This window comes from Homo sapiens, chromosome 5 (genome assembly GCF_000001405.40).
Source record: "Homo sapiens chromosome 5, GRCh38.p14 Primary Assembly".
In the NCBI taxonomy this organism is placed as follows: domain Eukaryota; kingdom Metazoa; phylum Chordata; class Mammalia; order Primates; family Hominidae; genus Homo; species Homo sapiens.
This window is the reverse complement of record NC_000005.10, coordinates 56,311,773-56,334,321: the sequence shown is the minus strand read 5'-3', so window position 1 is coordinate 56,334,321 and position 22,549 is coordinate 56,311,773. Positions and strand designations below refer to the sequence as shown.

Here is a 22,549-nt window from a genome sequence, read left to right as displayed (position 1 = left end):
ATAGTGAGTGAATTCTCATGACACCTGGTTGTTTAAAAGTGTGTAACACCTCCCCCTTGTCTTCTCTTTCTCCCGCTCCAGCCATGTAAGATGTGCCTCCTTCCCCTTTGCCTTCTGCCATAACTGTATGTTTTCTGAGGCCTCCTCAGCCATGTTTCCTGTACAGCCTGCAGAACCATGAGCCAATTAAACCTCTTTTCTTTATAAATTATCCAGTCTCAGGTAGTTCTTTATAGCAATCCAAGAACAGACTAATACAAAGTTCTGAATAAATTAAAGATCAAATGTGAAAAATAGGACTTAAAGACAGTGTATACATTTAATAGGAAAATCTTCATGAATTGAAGGTAGGGAATGATTTCTTAGACAAGACAAAAAAAGTATGACTTATAAAAAACAGGTTTGGTAAATCTTTAAGCTTTTGATAAAACTTTAATTGAAATTTTTGATAAAAATTTAATTAAAATGTAGAGCTTCTCTCCCTCAAAATACATCATTTTTAAAGGACAATTTACAGACTTACAGAAAATATTTGAACCATAAGTGACAGACTGAGGATTAGTATTCACAAATGTAAAGGACCACCGAAGTTGTAACAAACATGGGTGGAGACTATGAACAGGAAACTCACTGAAGTGGAAATCTAAATGACCAACAATCATACAAAAATATTATCGGCTTCACATGTAATAAGGGAAATGTGAGTAAAATAATAATGAAATACTACTTTACACACTTTGGATTGGCAAAGACTTTAAAGTCCAACAGTATCAACAATTGGCCAAGATGTGGGAAATGGAAAGGAGCACACACTGCTTTGGTGAGTGTAAATTAACACACTCATGACTGGGAGTGGTGACTCACACCTTTAATCCCAACACTTTGAGAGGATGAGGTGGGAGGATTGCTTGAATTCAGGAGTTTGAGACCAGCCTGGGCAATGTGGTGAGACCCCTATCTCTACAAAAAATACAAAAATTAGCCAGGTGTGGTGGTGTGCACCTGTGGTCCCAGCTACTGGGGAGGCTGAGGTGGGAGGATCGTTGAGCTCAGTAGGTCAAGTTTGCAGGAAGCCATGATCATGCCACTGCACTCCAGCCTGGGTGACAGAGTGAGACCATGTCTCGAAAAATAAAATAAAGTAAAATAAAATATTAACATACTTGCTAAATATCTTTTTTAAATTTATTTTGCACTCTTTTTAGCTCATTTTATTTTATTTTTTAAATTTTTTTTTTATTTCAATAGGTTTTTAGGAAGCAGGTCATGTTTGGTTACATGAGTAAGTTCTTTAGCAGCAATTTCTTAGATTTTTGTGCACCCATCACCCGAGCTGTGTACACTGTACCCAGTGTGTAGTCTTTTATCTCTCATGCCCCTCCCACCCTTTCCCTCAAGTCCCTAAAGTCCAGTGTATCATTCTTATGCCTTAGAATCCTCATAACTTAGCTCCCACTTATGAGTGAGAACATATGATGTTCGGTTTTCCATTCCTGAGTTACTTCACTTAAAACAGTAGTCTCCAATTCCATCCAGGTTGCTGTGAATGCCATTATTTTGTTCCTTTTTATGGCTGAGTGGTATTCCATGGTATATATCTACCACATTTTCTTTATCCACTTGTTAATTGACGGGCAATTAGGCTGGCTCCATATTTTTGCAATTGCAAGTAACACACTCACTAAATATTTAAGTAAAGTGGAAACTGCACATGCCCTGTGACTCATAAGTTTAAATCCGTGGAAAATTACTGTTCAATGTAATGCAGGACTGTGTTAGCTCCTGTGGCCGCCATAACAAATTACCACAAGTTTGTTTGGCTTAAAACAACAACAATTTATTCTCTTAGAGCTCAGGGGGCCAGATGCCTGAAATGCAGGTGAAGCAGGGTTGAGCTCCCTCCAAAAGCCCTAGAGGAGAATGCATTCCTTGTCTCTTTCACTTCTGGTGTCTATTGGCTTTCCTTGGCTTATGGCTGCATCTCTGCTCTGTGCTCACATTGCCTTCTCTTCTGTATGTGTGGTATTGAACTTCCCTCTGCCTCTCTTTCTCACATGTGATTGTATTTAGAGCCCACCCAGATAATTCAGACTAAGCTCCTCCTCTTAAGATATTTAACTTAATAACATCTTTCACCATACAAGGTGATATTCACAGATTTTAGGCATTAGACATGAACATATCTTTGAGGCCATCATTCAGTTCACTACAGGGACATACACAAGGATATTTATTTTTTAAATTCTATTAACAGCAAAAAACTAGAAACAGCACAAATGCCCCACCCACAAGATAATGCATAATGTATAATGTAATAAGAATATTATATAGCAGTATAGAGTCAATTTCATCTTCATCTATATCAGCACACATAGTTATCAAACACTTGTCATAAAGCAAGTTGCAGAATGACATATACAATATTATATCATTTATTTAATTTTTAAACAGGAATACATATATTTATTAGAAGTACGCAACATGAGCTAAATAGATATATACAAATATATGACAGTGTTGGAAACTGGGGAGCACCCATGGCATAGAAGATGGGAAGTAGAGCAAAGATGGTTCCATTAAAAGAGAAGCTTCTTTTATAATAATACACAAAAGACAAATTCCAAAATGTGAACAGTCCTTAATCTTGGGTTATAGGCACTGAAGTGTTTGTAATTCTATGCACATTTTAAATGATTTTTTAAATATTTTATAATTTTGTTTTTTATATTTAAAGATAGAAAATATTTTATGGTTATTCAGAAAACAGTATGAAGGATAAATTAGAATAGGCAGGAAATAGAGGGAAGGAAACCATTTAGAGACTACTACAAATAAGAAATAGAAAAGATGTATGAAGATTGGACCTAAGAAAGTGACCATGAAAACAGTGAGAAAAGGGTGATTATGAACAAAATTTACAAGGTAGACTCTTTAGGGCCTGTCTACTGAGTCAATGGGCACCAGGAGCGAGAGCGAGAAGGAAGATTCAAGGTGATGCCAAATTACTGACCTAAGAAACAGGTTGAATGGTGGCAGTGCAGTCACAGACAACTACTAATCTGCTTTCTGTCACAGTGAAATAGTTTCCATTTTCTAGCATTGTATATAAATGAAAGGCAGTAGGCACTATTTTTTTTTTTTGGTCTGGCTTCTTTCTCTCAGCACATTTATTTTAATATCCATCCCTGTTGTGTGTATAGCAACAGCTCATTCCTTTTTATTGCTGATTAGAATGGCAAGTTTCATTGACTGTCAGTCACCCTGGAGTGTCATTCCTGGCTGAGCCTCTCCCTGGCATGTGGACACTCAAGATTCATTCCCCCATCATCTGCCCACCTCCCTCCCACATCTGAATCTGCAGCTGTTTGCCTTCCCCAAATCCTCTTGTCACTGTTTGACGAGCAGTTACTGTTAGAGTGATTTCCTGGTGGGTTGCAAAATGTTACAATGTAACCAAGTATTAAATGAGCAAAATACTCTCCAAGGAATTGGAGGAGGTTGTCTTCAAAGTTGAATCTCAAAAATTCTGATTTTTCTACATTTCTGCTTAGTTCATCCTTCTAAAAAGACACCGTCATTTCTAATATGGACTCACTAAAGACATAAAGATGGCCAGTACAAGTAAGCTAAGACTACTGAATGAACACTCCAATTACCTTGTTTGAGGTTGGTCCCAAATTTATCTTTTGGTTGGCCTGCACGGATAATAAATAAATAAGCAAACAACAATAGAATAAATACCAGTGGCCTAAGTTCCACATCATTAGCATTTTGTGTTCCCAGAGCTACCATGTGGATCAGATTCAACTGGTATCCTGAGGGCTCCAGTGCTGCCTTAGAAAAATGATTAGTCTGGTGTACCAACCTCTGGGAAGTCTGCTATAGCCAGATTCCAGGAAATAGGCACTTTGACAGAGTCTTCAGCATGAATGCCCAAGGGAAGGAGAAGCTCTGAAAGAAAATTGTTTTAAATAGCTGCCTAATGATTGAGCGTCATGAAATGCTTTCACTTGGCAGGGCAAAATTGCACTACCTAGAAATGTCTGGGTGGCATTTAGAGTTGACAGACAGTAATGAGCGCTGGTTAAAAAAAAAAAAAAAGAGGTATTTTAGTGCTCTAGCAATTGCTAGACCTTCAGAAACACATCTCCCTTCTATATTTACACCTGCATTTTAAAAAGAAAAAAGAACAAAGAGAAGGAAAGAGAAAAAGGAAGGAAAGAAAAAAGGGAGAAAAGTATATCTATCATTTTATCCATTTCTAAAGACTCTTACATCAATTTAAAAGCTAACCATAATTGATCTTTTACTATGAACAATGTTTTGTGCTAAGTGCTTTACAAATATTAGCTAATTTCATCTTCACAACAACTGTTTAAGGCATACAACATTATTTCTCCCTTCTTACACATAAAGAAACTGAAGCTTGCCTGAGGTCATCATCTAATTGACAAGTCACGGTTCAAACCTAGGTGAGTCTAGCTTTAGAATTTGGGTTTCAATCACCGTATGGCATTGCTTCTCTTTCCTAACCTGGACTTAGTGATTGTGCAAACAGTGATGTCAACCATCTCAGCTTGCCTGGGTAGGGATGAAGAGAATTTCCTTCGCTCTTGCTTCTGAAGTTTAAATAATTTGAGTCTATAAAACAAACTAACAATAGGCAGATTCACAGGGAAAAAAAAGTGTACAAATTTTATTAATGTGCATATGGACACAGAAGCCACACACAAAGTATGAGACTCAATGGAAAGCCAGATGGCTGAAGGTTATATACCATACAGCAAGGAATAGAGGCTTGGGGCATGGCAAGACAAGTTATTGGAGGAAGAGGGGAGAAAAGGCATGGTGAGCAAAGGCTATCTTGTTATGCAGATAGAGCCCCATGGATAGCAGCCCTCGGAAAGAACAGACAGTATCCTGCTCTTATGTGGTAAAACTTTATCTGTCAGACCTTTTGAAGTGTCAGAACTTTAGTCCCTCTTTCCTGTGATTTAATCTTTCCTAGGTCTGGATAAGGGAGGCCTTATAAAACCCTGTTTGTGTCTGCTGTTAACTTCATTTCACTAATGTAGATTTCCTCTACAGATGCAAATCTCCCCGCCTCCCCAAAAGACAGCTTTTCAAAGCTTTTCCTGTGGTTTGCAGTTCCTGTGAATAGTCATATCAAAATATACCAAAGAAGTATATTTTGGAGTGGCATATTTTTGTTTCCTTTACCTGAGACCCACAGGACCTAAAGCGCTAAAACCTGGAAAGTCCCAGGCTAACAAGCATGAGTTAGTCATCCTCCAAGAATGCAAAAATATGAAAGAAACCTCTCTCTACTCAGTGATAAAGCTTCTCCAACTTAAGTGAAGGGACATTATAGTGTGCAAAGAGACCAGGCCCTAAAAGAACTGAGTCCTTGTCTCAATCTGCTTATAGCCAGCTCCAAGAGACCTTGACCAAGTCAGGTGACCTCTCTGGGCCTCAGCTCCTTCCTTCTTAAAATGATGAAGGTGGGTTAGATAAACAGGTCTCCACTTGGCTGTACATGAGAACCATGTGAGGAACTTTCAGTAAAGGCCGGTGCTCAGACCCCACCCCACCCCTGACCAATCAAATCCCAGAATATCTGGGGTTGGGGAACTGAATTTACTGCAGAGAACAAAGCATACATGTCCCACTTCTTAGAGCTAACAATTTAGTGGAGGAGCAAAAAGGCAAACTATGATTCATATACATATATATATATATATACACACACACACACACACACACACACACACACACATATATATGATCCTCCCTTCTATATTTATGCCTGTATTTAAAAAAAAAAAGAGAAAAGAACAAAGCAAAGAGAAGGAAAAAAGAAAAGGAAGGAAGTAAAAAAGGAAGAAAAGTGTTTCTAATCTGTTTGCCTGTTTCTAAAGACTCTTACATTAGTTTAAAAGCTAACACTAATTGATCTTTTAATATGAATATATATATATACACATGAATCATACACACACATATAATTTGTAGTAAGAGCTATTAAGGTGAAAATAATGTTATGAGAATTATGAAAAATTAATAAGGGGAACATAATTAAAGGGAGAGAGTCTGAGAAGGCTTCTGTGTGTGTCAGAAGAACAAAAAATTGCAGTTAGGCATACACATTACAGGGGAAAGAGCTTTCTAGTCAAACGGATATCTAACTTGGTTATCTGCTTCCGTATATGTCTACATACATACATACTTATACTATATGTACATGAATGAATGACTTACTTGAAGACTCATAGCCAGAACAGAGGGTGGAAAGGAGGGCGGAGAGTGGTGGGGAGAGCGGCACGCAGAGTGCCTGGGGAGGTCGGCAACAGCCAGACCATGTGGCAGACTTGAGGTTTTATCTTAAGTACAACAGCAATAGCAAGCCAGTGGAAGGTTTAGGCAGGGGAGTTACACTTTCAGATTTGTGTTTTTAAAAATTCACTTGTGCTTAAGTGTAGAGGATGGTTTGGATGGGGCATAAGGAAAAGAGAAGTTATAAAGTTATCGCAATAACATGAGTGAAGGTTTTGTTCCTTGATGATGCCAAATTTTAGCAGAATTCTGGGTACCTGCAGAGACTCACTGGAGTAAAGGAACAGGAAACAAATTTGATAGAATGCAAGCGGCATAACTCATGAAAAATCAGGAAATCGCTTTATACTGAATGTAGATGAGTGAGTGCCCTTGGCTTACTGCGTGCTATTCTCAGCTGCCCGAGTGTATTCTGTCCCTCATAAAAGCACACCGAGTTGCCCTCCCGCCATTCCTCTTCTCTCTCCCACTGTGTCTCTTCTTCCTTGTCATTGTTTATGTCTCTATTCCTAGGCTTAGGGTGGCATTCAACCTTGGAGCTCCCATTTTCTATCCTTGCAAGGGTTCCCTTTGTGCACTAAAGCATGGTTGGAGGAGCACACTAATTGTGCAGAGTTTGGCCACGCATTGATTTTTTAGCTTTTTGTCCCCTGGTGGGGTGGCTGGTCCCTTGGCCTCAGTCCATTTCCTAATGGATAGGTGTCAGCTTCACAAAACCATCACCTCGATTAGCACTAATTACCACCTTTCAGAGCCATCATCACCCAAAGGCTCTGGATTGAAAGGTCAGCAGGAAAATGAACTTCTACTCACACCTTCACGGGTGGTCCCTGGCTTCTGATCATGCAGAGGACAAGGGCTAATAGGGACAGACCTTTCCGCCTTTCTGCTCTTAGACCAAATGTTTCTTGAGAAGTCAGCCTTGGGACCCCAAGCCTCAGCTCATGAGATGACTGAACCCATGGCAAAGCACAGTCTTGTTAAACTTCCCTCCCTGTCCTGTCTCCCAGTGGCCTTGGGCTCTCCACACCCAGCCCTCACCCTCAGCCTCACACCATGCTGGTGAAGGAGGTGGCAGAAGCATGCCCACACTCCCTCTAGGTGTGTTTATGGTGCCCATATCCTCTTCCAGGCAGTGAGGGAGCTGTCACCCAAGGATAGGTAAAGAGAGCTCAGCATCAAATACAACTTGTCAGTATAGCAAGTCCATGAGCGTGTCTTTCCATTTAATCTTCACAGTACTTTGGTGGGGGACACAGTGCGAGCATCATTATCTGCCTCATTTTACAGATGAAAAGATAGAGGCCAGAGAGGTTGACAACTTGCACAAAATCCCACAGCCATTTCATGGTGGATTTGGGTCCCCAAACTAAACCATTAGGGGGTACAAATGAAGCCATGTATGCATGCCAAAGCATTTTAGAAACCAAAAAAATACTATACCAACATATAATATCTGTGTTAGTTTCTTGAGGCTGAAGTAGTAAATTACCACAAACTAGCTGGCTTAAAATAACAAATGTTTTCCCTCACAGTCCTGGAGCCTGGAAATCTGAAACACAGCAGGGCCATTCAGCCTCTGGGAGGTTTTGAGGGGCAATCTGCTCTTTGCCTCCTCCAGCTCCTGGTGGCTGTCACCATTTCTTTACTTGTGGCCTTATCACTTCCATCTCTGCTTCCAGGGCCACATTGCCACTTCCTCTTCTCTGTGTTCTTCTCTTCTTTCTGCCTCAAATATCCCTCTGCCCTTCTCTTAGAAGGATACTTCTCCTTGGATTTCAGGTCTACCTGTATAATCCAGGATGGTCTCCTCATCAAAAGATCCTTAATTTAATTATATCTGTAAAGATTCTTTTTCCAAATAAGGAAGGTCACATCCATAGGTCCCAGAGTTTACAGCATGGACGTATCTTTTGGAGGGCCGTGATTAAACCCACAACAGTATTTAAGGCTGCTGCTGGTGAGGGTGGTGGTGGTGATGCTGCCGTGGGGGTGGCAGGGCCCTGGCTCTATCCGCCAATCCATGCTACCCCCATCCTTCTAGTTCTAGTGATCAATGTGAGGCAAAATAGTGCGGTAGATAAGAACACAGACTGTGGAGCAGCCTGCTTACAATTCAAACCCTAGTTCCATCACCTGATGACTGCGTGACATTGAACAACTTTCTTAACCTCCCTGGATCTTAATTTCCTCCCCCGTAACATGAAGGTAACAGAACCCTCTCTCATAAGGCTGTTGCAAGGATCAAATGATTTAATTATGTGTAAAGTGCGTAGATCAGCGTCTACACTACAGAAATGCTAACTGTAATTATCCCTTGGCTGGCACCGGGACTAATGCTAAGTTCTCTCCCCTCGCCTGTTTATCATTAAATAATGACTTGGATAAACAAAGAATGAACTTTCTCCTCTAGAAGAGCACTCCTGAATCATTCATTAATTCCCAGGTATATTTTCTGAAACGCTCTAAATTCTTTGTAAAAGGGGGAAAAACATGAAATGCAATGGGAAGGGACCACTGCTTTAAAATCTTCCATTAGCTTCCCGTTTGATCCTGAAGGTTTGGAAGTCTTTTGAACCCATTATTCAATCTAAAATTTTGGTTAGTTTTGCAAGTACTTGAAAGAGTTCTGCAGGCTGATGAATAAAAAATCTAGTGTTTTATAGAAAGGACTAGGAGTTTGAGCAAAATGTTACCAAACAAGAATGATGTCAAATAGAGTGACCTTGTATAGCTGCAATCCGAACGAGTGACATCAGCTTGCCTGGGATAGGATTGAGTACTATTTTCTTTCTTTTCAGTTTTACCTTGCCTTAAACTCTGCTTTCCCTGGTATTTGTTCAATTGTTTCTATATCTCAACCAAAGACACAAATGTCTGTCCAACAGATTGAAGCCACAGTATCAGAAGATAAGTAAAGTTTGGTGATTTTTTACTCTTGAAATTAGGTTTAGTAAGACAAGCATTACATTTGGCAAGGACATTAATGTAGCCAAAAGAAAATGATGGAAAAACACCCATCCTGTCATCAAAAGAAATGTTGGCAGAACAGAAAAGCTGCCCACATGCAGCGGGTCACACCTGTAATCCCAGCACTTTGGGAGGCTGAGACGAGAGGATCACTTGAGACCAGGAGGTCAAGGCTGCAGTGAGCTATGATCCCACCACTGCACTCCAACCTGGGTGATAGAGTGAGACTGTGTCTCAAAAAAAAATAAGGAAAATAAATAAATAATAGAAAAGCTGGATGTAACTGGATGGATGTCAATTTATCCAATTTCAATAAATTTATTTTTTATAACTTTTAAATTGTAAAGGTAAAGTATATTCATTAAAGATTTTGAAAATTATGGAAAAGTACCCAAGGAACCCCTAAAAACCTAAAATAAAATATCACTATCCCATAATAACTGCTGCCAATATTTTTGTTTATTTCTTCCTATGTAAAATGCAGTTTTCTTTCTACAGCTGAAATCATGCTACCAAAGTTAGGAATGCCTCCTGTCTCTAGAAATGCAGTAGTTTTGGTGCTTTTTTTTTTTAATTATAACAAGATGATAACTTTTATTATAAAAGAGATGCAGCAAAAGAATCTCATTCTCCCTTGAGTTCTAGCTCAGTACAATGCTAAGTAATACTCAACTATTGTCAACACTAATGCTGTCCTCTGCCCAAAGACAGGACTATTCAACTATCCTACCAGATCTTTCACAGCTACTTCAAGTGAATGACACATATGTTGTCTTTTTCCTTTTTTTTTTTTTTTTTTTTTTTGAGAGAGTCTCACTCTGTCACCCAGGCTGCAGTGCAGTGGCATGATCTCGGCTCACTGCAACCTCCGCCTCCTGGGTTCAAGCAATTCTCCTGCCTCAACCTCCCAAGTAGCCAGTATCACAGGCATGTGCCACCATGCCTGGCTAATTTTTGTATTTTTAGTAGAGACAAGGTTTCACCATGTTGGTCAGGCTGGTCTTGAACTGCTGACCTCAAGTGATCCGCCAATCTCGGCCTCCCAAAGTGCTGGGATTACAGGCATGAGCCACCTTGCCCGGCTGGTTGTCTTCTACTTGCAGCTGAGCAGCAATATCAGAAAGCAGACACAGATAAGTTTTTCCAGGAGGGTAGAAAACATTTTTAATAGTCGTAGCTAAAATTCACTGAGGGCTCACTGTTCTAAATGCTTTGAATCTAGTAACTTAATTCTTCACAACAATCCTGGGAGGTGATTCACCCTCAATAGGTGGCAGAGCTGGGCTGAGAAGCCACAGCCTGGTTCTGTAGTCTGGGCATTTCATCACAACAGGGAAACAGCTCTGAAGCTGCCGACAGGGTGATTGCTGATGCTGCAGAACATTCTAGTGCTATAGTCAAACTGGAAGAGATGCCCAGCAAAAGATTTGAGAGTGAGTTAGAAATTCAGGTTCTATTCAAGTGTAAGATAAAATCATACTTAGAGAAAATGAGCTAGTTAATTACATTGAGTTAAGTGCTCAATTTTGTTTTAAAATTAGTATCTTCCATGGAAATGACATGACAATATTCCATAATGCTTAAGTTTACCTTTTTAATGGTTTTCGGTTGATAAAAGTATAATCAAGTCGAAATGCTTCTTAATTTTGCCTCAGCTCATTCCCCCGAGGGAAGGCCATTACCAGGCCATAGGCCATGACCCATAAGGGAGAGTCAAGGGGTGTAAAGGCCATGGACTGCAGATTCAAATTCCTGCTCCATCGTTTGCTAGGTAAGTTACTTACTAGGCACCTCTTTTGCATCCTTAATTTCTCAAATAGGGAAATGGAATTAAATCTCCTTTGCCATGTTTTTCTGAGGACTAAATAAGATATTGTATGTAAAGAGCCTGGCAACAGAAGTCACTTAAGAAATGGTAACTTCTTATCTGTGCCTCCTCATGGCAGTTTATTGAGTTCAAAGCGTAACACTCACAGGAGAAAGAATATCCTCATATTCCAACCTTGGAAATGCAAAATTGGTCATGACGGATGTGTAAGAGCAAGATGAATACACAGGGGAGAAGGAAATAGCACAGTCCCCTGCCCTAGCCTGGTGCCCCAGGCGTCCAGGCAGGGAGTGACACTGGGTCAGGTGGCTGGGAGTCAGCTGGCCTGCTGAGGTCCACTGGGGCCAGAGGAGAGAAGAGCAGCGAGGGGAAGACAGTCAGCTCCTTTCAAAGCCTCTCGCCCGGCCGGGTACAGTGGCTCACACCTGTAATCCCAGCACTTCAGGAGGCCGAGGCTGCCGGATCTCCTGAGGTCAGGAGTTCGAGACCAGCCTGACCAACATGGTGAAATCCTGTCTCTACTAAAAAAAATACAAAAATTAACTGGGCGCATAGTCCTAGCTGCTCAGGAGGCTGAGGCTGGAGAATCACTTGAACCCGGGTGGCAGAAGTTGCAGTGAGCCGAGAGCCCACCACTACACTCCAGCCTGGGCCACAGAGTGAGACTCTGTCTCAAAAAAAATGAATAAATAAAACCTCTGGTATTTCACAGGCCCACCATGAGTCTCCACTCTACAACCCCTGCATCCCTTGGTGATGCAAACAAAGACAGAATAGCTGGAAATATGGCTCCATTACATTATACTATTACAGATTAGAGGTCTGTAATCTGCAGATAGGCTGTAGGGTGGTTGACAATAAAGTACTTCCAATCCCCATAGAAACCTGCCTTTGATATCTCTCGTTTGAGGAGTCCAAACAGTCTTGAAAATAATAAACTCATTATTGCTCCCAATATTGCTAAAAAACAAAGAAAAGGAGAGGGAGAGAGAGAGACTCCTCCAGGGCCCCAGTTGGTGGACACAGTTATTGGGCTCTGTTGAGCACTAAAAGCCAAGGAGGGGCGCACACATTACAAGTGTACAAGGTGCTTGTGAGGGCAAAATTCACCTAACAACTAAATGGCAGAGATCAAGGAACAGTGAAGTAGTTGGGCTTTCCCTGAGAGTTAGGACTCCAGCAGGATGAGGGGAGGCTTGATTATTTTGTTTGTAAGCACTGCTTGAACTTTTCTGAGGGCTGTGGGGGCACATTTACCTGAGGACTTCCTGGGGACCTTCTGTGAGGAAAGCGATTAAAAGGATTAAAGCCCCAACACCTCTTCCCCGAGATTCAAAGTTACTGAAATTCACTGAGGTGAACTAAAGGTGAGTGGGTGACCACAGCCATACCCAAGCACAAGAAAGGCAAGGAAGCCCCTGAAAATCACCGTGAAGGAAGAATGTGACAGGACTAAAAAGAGAACAGCAGAGGAGCCTGTCCCCTAATGCAGGGGTCCCCAGCCCCAGCCCACGGACTGGTACCCGGTTCATGGCCTGTTAGGAACCCAACCCCACAGCAGGGGGTAAGTGGCAGGTGGGAGGGCATTACTGCCTGAGCTCCACCTCCTGTCAGATCAGCGCCAGCACTGGATTCTCAGAAAAGCAGGAACCCCATTGTGAACTGCGCATGCTAGAGGAATCTAGGTTGCACAGTCCTTATGAGAATCTAACTAATGCCTGATGATCTGAGGTGGAACAATTTCATGCCGAAACCACCCCTCCCACTCACACCCCACTCCCCCATCCGGGCAGTGTGTCTTCATGACTGTCAATGACTCTACGATGGTGTCACTGGGAGTCTGGCCCGTGTCTGTGGGAAGTCCTCCTGACTGCAAGTAGCACCTAAGTGGGTAGAGGGCCAGGCTGGGTGGGCATCCTGCTTTCCTTCTGAAGAACTATGAGCATCACTGAGGACCAGAAGCAGAGCTTGAGCCACACCACCTCCAGGAAGCCCTCTTAGCTATGCAAGGAGAGAATCTCTCCAGACCCTTGGATTTCAGCTGCTTCTGGCATCCATAGGAGCACCTGACAGCTGGTAAGAGTTAAAAAGTCCCTGCCTCAAGGGGCACCCCTAACAGAAGAGCTGGTTTTCCTGCTGGCTTGGATGGGAGTGGGCTTGAGAGTTGTATATTTGGAGGCCAACTGAGTGGCAGGTATTTCTATTCCCAAACTGCAAAATAGTTTAAACATGAAAGTCATTCACAGAGGAAGAGAGGGTGGCCATGGAATGGTTCGGAGCATGGTCTTTGTGGCCAGACACGCCTGAGTTTGAATTCCGTTTCTCCTACTTTCTAACAGCTGTGTGTCCTTGAGCAGATGGCTTCTACCTTCTCAGCTCCAGTTTCCTCATCTGTTATCATCCTCAAATGGGGATAATAACAATCCCTACATCATAGAGCTGTTATGAGAATTAAATGAGATAATGCATGTAAAGTATTTGGCACCTAGTGGGCCTCAATAGATGTTAGATTAAACAAACAAGCCAAAACCCAAATAGGCACCAGGGCAAGTTGTGTGTAAGCGACGGGGCCCCCTACACTTAGCGAGCACTCAGAGATCCTGCTGAGAAATGATGAGGAGTGATTTCTCACCGTAATGGAGAGAAAAAGGCAAGTAAGTTTGAGACAGGTCCAAAATAATCCCAAGAAGAATTCGCATGGTGCCTGAATTCAGCCAGGCATCCAGGATTCCTGATTCCAAAACAACTATGCTGTTTTTGGTGTAATTTTGGACCCTCCCTGGTGATTTTCAGTTTTGTACAAGAACAGTTTCTATTTTAGTTTATCTCCACTTGGTTTTTCTCCCCCTCCAATTCTCTCCTGAGGGTTCTATTTCCATTACTTCTTTACATCTTTTGATTTAAATTCTCATTTGAAAATAATTATATGTGCTATTATTCATCGAGTGTTTCTGTTAAACGTGCTTGCCCTCTCTAAGACATGGGAACGCGCTTCTCTGAAACAGCACAGAGGTGAAGCCCAGGCGAGGCCTCTAGGTTGGTGGTGGAAGGGACATAAAACTTCGTGTGTCAGGGATCTTCCTGACAGGCTTTACCAGGCCTGGGTCCAAGATGAAGCTGAGAAAAATGAAAAGGGATTTGGCTGACAAAGCAGATGACAGGCAGAGAGAGCCAGTAAAAGGGAATTGGCCAATGGCAAAAGGGGAATTGGCAAGGCTTTGTGAAACCCCTTGGTGGAAAACCATAAACCTCAGCTTGTCCGTCTGGCGCATCAGTCTTCACAGGCAAATCATTTTTGCCTGTGGAAGGTGCCTGCCAGGAAGCTGCCCCTCAGGGGGCGCCTTTGGAAAAGTGGATCGTGTCTGGCTGCGTGCCCAACCCTAAGTGCATGGGGATGAGAAGAAAATGCTCACAATGAGATCTCTGAGGGCTGGGAGATGGGGAGTGCTCCAGCGGCTGACACTCGTGAGTCACAGAACGATGGGAAAAAAGAAGTTGAGAAACAGAGGAAGAGGACGCGGGACGGGAGGAGGTGGGAAGCCGCTTTGTTTCTGCAGTCCGGGACTGTCAGGGCCTGCCTGTCTCCCTCTTTGACGGGTCCCACTTGGAATTACTCATCGACGCTTTCGAAACTCAAGCCTGTCTTCTTCCAGGTGAAGAACCCACTTGTCTGGGTCTCCCAAATGAGCACTTACATTGTGAAAACTCTCTTTCAGAAACCCTATCTGTGCTTGTGTGCATGACCTTGACAGAGGCTGAGCTGCTGCCTGGGGCACCGGACTGAGATCTGGGGGCTGGGGGTTGGCAAGGGCGTGGCCTCCTCTTCCGTGCCCTCCTAATGTCTGCTTTCTCTTGTCTGAGTGCTGTCTTTTGTCTCCAGGCCATCCAGATTTCTTCACTGGCTTCCTCCCACTCAAGTCTGGTTTCCCAGGGAGGGCCAGTTGATGACCTGTATTTTCACCATTTCCTCTACCAAGATTTGCCTGACATATATTTCCCTTTCATAGAAAATTGGCAGAAAAAAAAGTTTGTTAGAAAAATTCCTGAGGTGTTTAATAACTAGTCATAATTGAGGGCGATAGCCTCTATCAGAGGACAATGCCCTAATCTGGGGGATCCCTAACCTTTTCTCATGTCTGCACACAAAAAAGTCCCACGCCTATAATCCCGGCACTTTGGGAGGCCAAGGTGGGCTGATCACTTGAGGTCAGGAGTTCAAGACCAGTCTGAGCAATATGGTGAAACCCCATCTCTACTAAAAATACAAAAATTAGCCAGGCATGGTGGCACATGCCTGTAGTCCCAGCTACTTGGGTGGCTGAGGAATGAGAATTGCTTGAACCTGGGAGGCGGAGGTTGCAGGGAGCTGAGATCGTGCCATTGCCATCCAGCCTGGGCGACAGAGGAAGACTGTCTCAAAATAAATAAATAAATAAATAAAATAATCAGCATTTTACCACACACTGTGACAAATCAAAGTGAGAGACAATGAGGCCTAGCCCCAGCCACCACCCCACTTGGACCCCCAAGCCACACCGCAGAAGGCTGAAAGGATCCATATCTCCCAACATCTCTAACCCTGGTGTGCACATTGACTGGGAAGCTCCGTCTTAACCCAGTGGAGCTTTTGTTTTGTTTTTTGTTTGTTTGTTTGTTTTTAGTAGAGATAGGGTTTCACCATGTTGGCCATGCTGGTCAATTCCTGGCCTCAAGTGATCCGCCTGCCTGGGCCTCCCAAAGTGCGGGGATTACAGGTGTGAGCCACTGCTCCCGGCCACTGTGGTTTTTAAAATGTGCTTTGATGAGCCCTGGTAGTTTGCCCTTGTGCCTCAGAGGGAGTGGCCAGCTGGACCAATGGGTCGCCTATTTCAGCTACAGCATCTCTGCTTTTATCTATTTTATTTGTTAGATCACTGAAAGAAAGAATGTTGTGGCTTAAAGGGGTTAGAAAATTACTATCTTAAGTCCAACAAATAAAATCTTTAATGGCAGAAGCTCACTCAACCATGACAGGGTAGTGAGGGATGTATTCTGAGGACAGAGGGGTTTTCTGGTACCCTTCCACCGTATCATTCAGGAAATAGAGTCAACCACAGACAGACCTATGTTCGCCCTGTCAATAATCTGTGCACATGCTGCCTCACAGACCATAGGGGTTTTGTTTCTTTAAAAAGTCTGATCCTTGGGCAAGGCATAGTAGCTGATGCCTGTAATCCCAGAACTTTGGGAGGCTGAGACAGGACAATCGTTTGATCCCAAGAGTTCAACACCAGTCTGGGCAACATAGCAAGACCCAGTCTCTTAAAAAAAAAAAAAAAAAAAAGGTCCAATCCTTGAAAAATGATTATAAGTAAGTAAAATCAAGTAAGTAAATACCAGAGACCGCTAATGTCTTCGCTCAGTGAAACATAAACACAATCACCATCCTTGCCTTTGCTACCTTTCCTATTGTAATTGATTTATTTTTGCTATTTTTCAGAGGCCATACATCTGGGAAATCAAAGCTGCTGAAAGAAAGCCTAGCAAAACTAAGTACTGAGATATTTCACAAGATTGAGGCATTGGTTTATTTACTATTATTATTATGTTATTGTGTTGCTATTATTACATATATTTCTACACCACTTTGTTTCACAAAAGGCTTATAATGGGAAAGACTTATTGAATAGTGTTCCATAGAAGAGGTTTAATCTCAAAGTTCAGGTTATTTGGTATTTGCTGGGTGACACCATTTCAAAACTATCAAGGTTTAATGTGAAATTAATTTAAGATTTCAATGATCTGGTTTTCATTTTAAACCTTGTATTAAAATAAAGTATCAATCAGAGTTACAGCTTTGCGTGTGCATGTGTGTGCATGTATGCATGTTTAATTTCCATTCCACATTGTTCCATAAAGGATCTGAGGGCACAAGTACTATAACTTTGCAAGTTAGTGAGAATGCCTAAAATACTAGTAAAGGCTTATCTTTCAGCAGGGATTCACCAGTTGTTGTCTGCCATTTTTCCATTGATGAATAGAATTTTGATAATATGCCTTTTTAATATAATTTCAACTTTTATTTTAGATCCAAGGGGTACACGTGCAGGTTTGTTAGCTGGGTATATTGCATGATGCTGAAGTTTGGGGTATGACTGATCCCATCACCCAGGTACTAAGCATAATGCCCAATAGTTTTTCAACTCTTGCCCCCCTCCCTCCTCATTCTAGTAGCCTCCATTTTCTATTGTTGCCATCTTTAGTCTATGAATACCCAATATTTAGCTCCCACTTGTAAGTGAGAACATGCAGTATTTGGCTTTCTGCTCCTGCGTTGATAACACATTTGAAATATGCTTCTTCACCCTTAGATGTTTCACTACTAGAGTTTTATTACCTTTCAGCACAACAGAGGAGAGTGGAGATACAGACTTAGATAGAGGAGCAGACTCACTTCTGTGGCTCTTGCCACAAATTTTCTTTTGAAGGTTCTGAAAGCTCCGAATACAGTTATCTGATTTATTCTAGGTACACTTGGGCCAGTGAAATTCTAGGCTCTAAAATAGAAAGTTTTAGAAAGAGCTCAATGAAGCTTTATTTCTTGTACAATAAATCCATCTCAGCAAAGAGAGCCTGCCATTACATGGAACTCAGCATCTACTGAGGCAAGTAAGATTCACGCTCCTGAAGACAAAGCAGGAAGTCAGCTCATTAAGGCTGTTATCTTGCTTCTGACTCTATCTTGCTTTGTGCAGTCTTCACTGTCTCAAGTGCTATATTGTCTGTGTGGTATTTCATTTTAAAATTCTTCCGTTTGCTGCTGATTGGTTGGTTTAATAGAAAAATAAATAAATAAAATTTTTCAGTTGAGACATTGTGATGTAGTTGTATATACAAGTTAACTCTAATCTATCCTCCAAGAGGGGAGGCTAGAATTTAAAATACCCTGTTTGGGGGATCCAGCAGTTAACTACTGCTGGAGTTGGTTAACTCAAATGAAGCACCCTAGCCAGAGTCAACATCTTCTAAGATGGTCCACTTAGCATTTAAATATAATTAACTAAACCCATGCCAGGAGGCTTACTAACATAATGGATATTTAAAATAGTTTCTAATTGGTGAGGTGAGTAGTAATCAAACCAGATGGTTGGTTAGGGGTGTTATACCAGAAACTCTGCCCTTACCTGAATGAAGCATAAGCATTGGCAAGCCCAGCTTTCTGAATACAAATGGTGCAAGCTTGCAGTCTAGACCCCCAAGTTGCTTCTACGTCCTCCACTTCACACAGCACCCTGTACCTGACCCTGTACAAAACTGGACACACCTGCCATCAGAATATGCTTGTCCTAAATTCAACTAAGCCTTTTATGGGGAATGCTGAACAGACGACTCAAAGGTAAAAGAGGGCCCAAGGATAAAGACTGGGACTTTCCTAGCTACATGCCATGTTTAAGACTGTTTTTGAGACTTTTTGTGAATAAATGTCTAGGTATTGTCAGAATATTTTCTAAAACCTCTTTTCATTGTAATATGACTCCTGGTAGCCAGGTTGTGAAGGAAGGAATATACTGACTCCCCCAACACTTCCTCACTTCCGATGGTTGGAGCCTATTAATATTTACCAGGAAATTTTTATATTTGCCAAAACGATTGGCTTGGGTAGAATGCCATGCCATGCAAATTTCAAATTCATGTTTTCATATAGAGAATTAAGCTAAAGATGGTTAGCTTAAGGTTGTGGGGTTTTTCTTTGAATTTTGGGACTCCGATTGCATTCTGTAAATGTCCCTTAATGAAGGAACTATTTGGTGGGCCTTATACTTGTCCCTGAACACCCTTTAACTGTGACTTGTAGGATAATTTCTGAACCCATTTAAATTCTGGAAACCTGAGAGTTGCCTGTCTAAGCAGTAGCTGTGCTCCTTCTGTGGCATCTTCTTGTAAAATATTGGATTCTAAACTGGTTGCAGTGGAAACCCAGGGCCACTGAGGGAAGAGTGGAAGCCAGATAGAGTGTCCCCTCCTTCTGTGCTGGCTGGGACAGGCAATCTCAGCCCAGGGGTCGGGGAGAGGAACCGGGATTCATACCCGCAGGATTTTGTTTGAGATTTCATGCCTATCAAGTTCATCCTCAAAGAACCCAATGTCATTCTGATTTATTATTATTATTTGAATGAGAGTCAACCACCGACTAATTGTGTCTGGGATATGTCAGCCCCAAGCCTGCCTTAGGGCAAAAGGTTGGACAAGATAATTAGGACTGTGAGGAGGAATTGAGAGACTTCCTGTGGAAGTATCAGAGTAGAAGAAGCCAACACAAAAATCTGGCATCAGTAATGGTCTTTCTTTTATTCTCCTCTCAGGACGGTTTGGAACTTTGGGATCCTTGAAGGACCCCGTGGCCTAGCAGATGAGCACCCTGCCTGCGGCTGCAGGGCAATGTCACAGAGAACCCCTAGGGGGAAGCACTCAGGCACAAGTCTCAGTGAGATTCTCAGCGGCAGGGCTGTGCATGCATCCGGGGACACCATCTCCTGTTTCTCACATAAAGATTACGGCACAGGCAAAGATAAGGAACATTTTCCTAACAGTAAGAAGGCTTTGAATCCAAGAAAGCAACAAACCAGAGCAGACTCATTTGAAACATGAACAGAGTGATGTGGCCAAAGGAATCCAAGCCAGGTTTCACCAGGTTCCTATTGTGAACACACTGGATGTTTATATGAGAATCCCAGTGTATAGCAATCATAACTAGATAATAATTATGCTTAAGATTTGGTCCTCTTTCCATATATGGATTCAGTCCTTTTCTGTCATTTTGTCATTTTCATGGAATCTGGAGTTACGGAACCATCCAATGTTTATTACAGAGAATGACCACCCATAAGCCTCTCCATGCTTATGGAAGCAACAGTTCTGGGGCCGCTGGCTGCATATTCCTTCCAGGTGTTTATTTCTGGGTCTACATCATGTCCCTCACTCATCAATTTAACTCTATCCAGAGAATTCCTCTATGGTCTTCATCAGATTAGGAAGTAAATCATCAGTCACTTCAAATATTTCAAGCTTGGTTTTCTTTGACATAAATCAGTTCTCCTGACTACAATTCCTGGAAAATATTGTAGAGCCCAGCAGCATTGCAGTATTTCAACCTTCATTTGAGTTGCCTGTGACCCAGATGTGAGCTAGTGCTTCCACAGTCTCAGATGTCTGGGTGAATCCACCAATTCTACACCTGTGAACATCCCTGCCTTTGATTCTTTCTAATTGTCAGGAAACTTGCACTCATAATCCCTCCTGCCTCTGGCTCCTGGGTCCATATGTACTGGCTCTGTATCAGCCTCTCTCAACCCAGGTGTAATACTCAGCCCTTTGTCATTTTATACAAAACAATTCACACTTTAAGCATTTCTTGAGTAATACTTTGTACAAGTAATACCTTGGGATGCAGAGTGAGAGTATGTGGGTGGGTCATGTTACATAGTTCCAGGCTTCCCAAGGTCCTCTACCTCTAGGCTCTCTGTCCTGTCCTCTCTTCCTTCCTTATTTTCCCTGGGAGCTCCATGACCTTCTCCCTCTATCAGACAAATTAGCCCAGTTCCCCTTAGCTCCTACCGCTAAGTGTCCATCAAGGCCCTCAGCGAAACAAAGTGTGTTCTGTTTAACAAAATCTATGTTCCTTAGAACATAGCTAGAATATAAATAACAACAAAAGTTCAGGTGCATATATATATTAGTTGATGAAATCAAGTATAAATCTCTGCCTCCATTGAAAGATAGCACAATGTTTTAGAGAAGGAACTGAATTAGGAATCAGTCTATTCGAATTTGAGGCCCAGCAGCACCCTTCACTAGACAGGTGAAAAAGCCAGCAATTCATTTTCGGTCTCAGTTCATCATCTGAAGAGTGAAAATGTTACAAATATTTTGAATCATTATGCTGATTAAAGGAAATAACTTATTCACATGCACTCTGAAACATTAGAGCAGCGTTTCTCAGGACTTTTTTAGTTTTACCATGACTGAGAGTGCTGCTGGCACTTTGGAGGAGGTGCTGGGGATGCGAGGTGGCTGCCAATGTGGAAAAATTGTATATAACACAGTACTGCCTAATTATCAATAACATACCCATTGAGAAATGCTACATCTGAACACAGTATAAATGAAAGGTACGTTACTTCTGACCTTCCATCTTTTACACAAAATGCTGATGAATTTCTTCATGGTGTAGATAATTCTTTTAAACAATTTTCCTCATTCTGGATTATTTTAGCCCAATCTTTGTTCCAAGGTGATAGTTTCTCTGCCTTCCAATGATGCTGCCAACATTTTAATTGCAATCTTGAGCTTCCTTCTATACAGAGTGCTTCCATTTAGGGTATCTTTGTTTGATCTCTCAGTTGAAACTACATTTTACCCTCCAGAAAACAAAAAGAAGAAAGACAAATTATGGGTAAAGGCTGAGAGAATTTTCCACGTGGTGAAGGCAAGCAGTATGAGGAAGCAGGTGAGCTAAGTACCCACGGGGCAGCTATTCGGGCCAGTAGTTGTTTTCCCAAGGCCAGCGTCACCTGGTGTAAACAGCTGGTGGGCTTTTAATCAGGCTTCAAATCTCTTTCCCACCTCTCCTCTTCTGATTGCAATAAGCAATGTAGCCCTAACTAGGGCCCAGACTTCCAGACTGCAGACTTCCAGGAGCAACACAGTTCTATCCCCATTCTGTGACTTGCCATCTGCCCATGAAGCCTTGAGAGGGTCCATCATCTGCAGGCCTGACTCCTGATTTGCTCTCTTGGCTGTGGTGAAGCACTGTGGTCACCCACATACACTCTCCCTTTATCCTCAGGCAAGGACTCAGGGCTGCTACTCCTACCACAGAGGTAGATGGACCCCATGAGGTGGGTTTGGGGGAGGATTAGCATGTACTTTCTTTGGGCCAAGAGCCAAATGAGCATTTACACTCATCTTACCAACACTACATCCTTAGGGTTTAGAGAGCTGTTTTGAAATGCTTGATACAGTGAGGGTGCTCAGAGATATTTCATCACTTATATAAGAGGGGGGACCCCTGCCTCTATAGGCTTATGGAGGAATGTGATTCAGATGAGAGTAGGAGGGCCTAACTGGCTGGGAAGGTATGGAATCTGTAAGCCAGTTATACTCCTATTTCCAGTCAACAGGCTGAACCCATAAGTTTTTGTTTTTAGATGATATCTCTGATTATTTTGACAATGTCACTTCTCTGAAACTTTCAATGACTCTCTCTGCTGATAGAAAAATTCCAATTTCCTTAGCCTTTCATTGAATCTATCCATAATTTGGGTCCAACCTACTTTTCTAGTCTTCTATTTTGTAACTCCCCTCGCAAATCTTACACCCCAGCAGTTTTGAATTAAAACAAAACAAAACAAACTTTTTCTTCCCTGAAAACAGGTCCTC

At 42.1% G+C, this 22,549-nt stretch overlaps 1 long non-coding RNA gene across 1 annotated transcript in view, besides 1 other annotated feature; it reads right to left on the bottom strand.

Annotated features, from left to right (window-relative positions):
• The window catches only part of LOC105378977 (uncharacterized), a 54,627-nt gene that overhangs the window by 16,741 nt on the left and 15,337 nt on the right, over window positions 1-22,549 (bottom strand). The gene's annotated exons all lie outside the window — the stretch shown is intronic.
• Window positions 19,510-19,649: a silencer, noted in NCBI's record as "silent region_16020". NCBI's record gives its function as "represses an Ori minimal core promoter by ATAC-STARR-seq in GM12878 lymphoblastoid cells {active_cell/tissue: GM12878}" and the evidence as "EXISTENCE:reporter gene assay evidence [ECO:0000049][PMID:35858748]".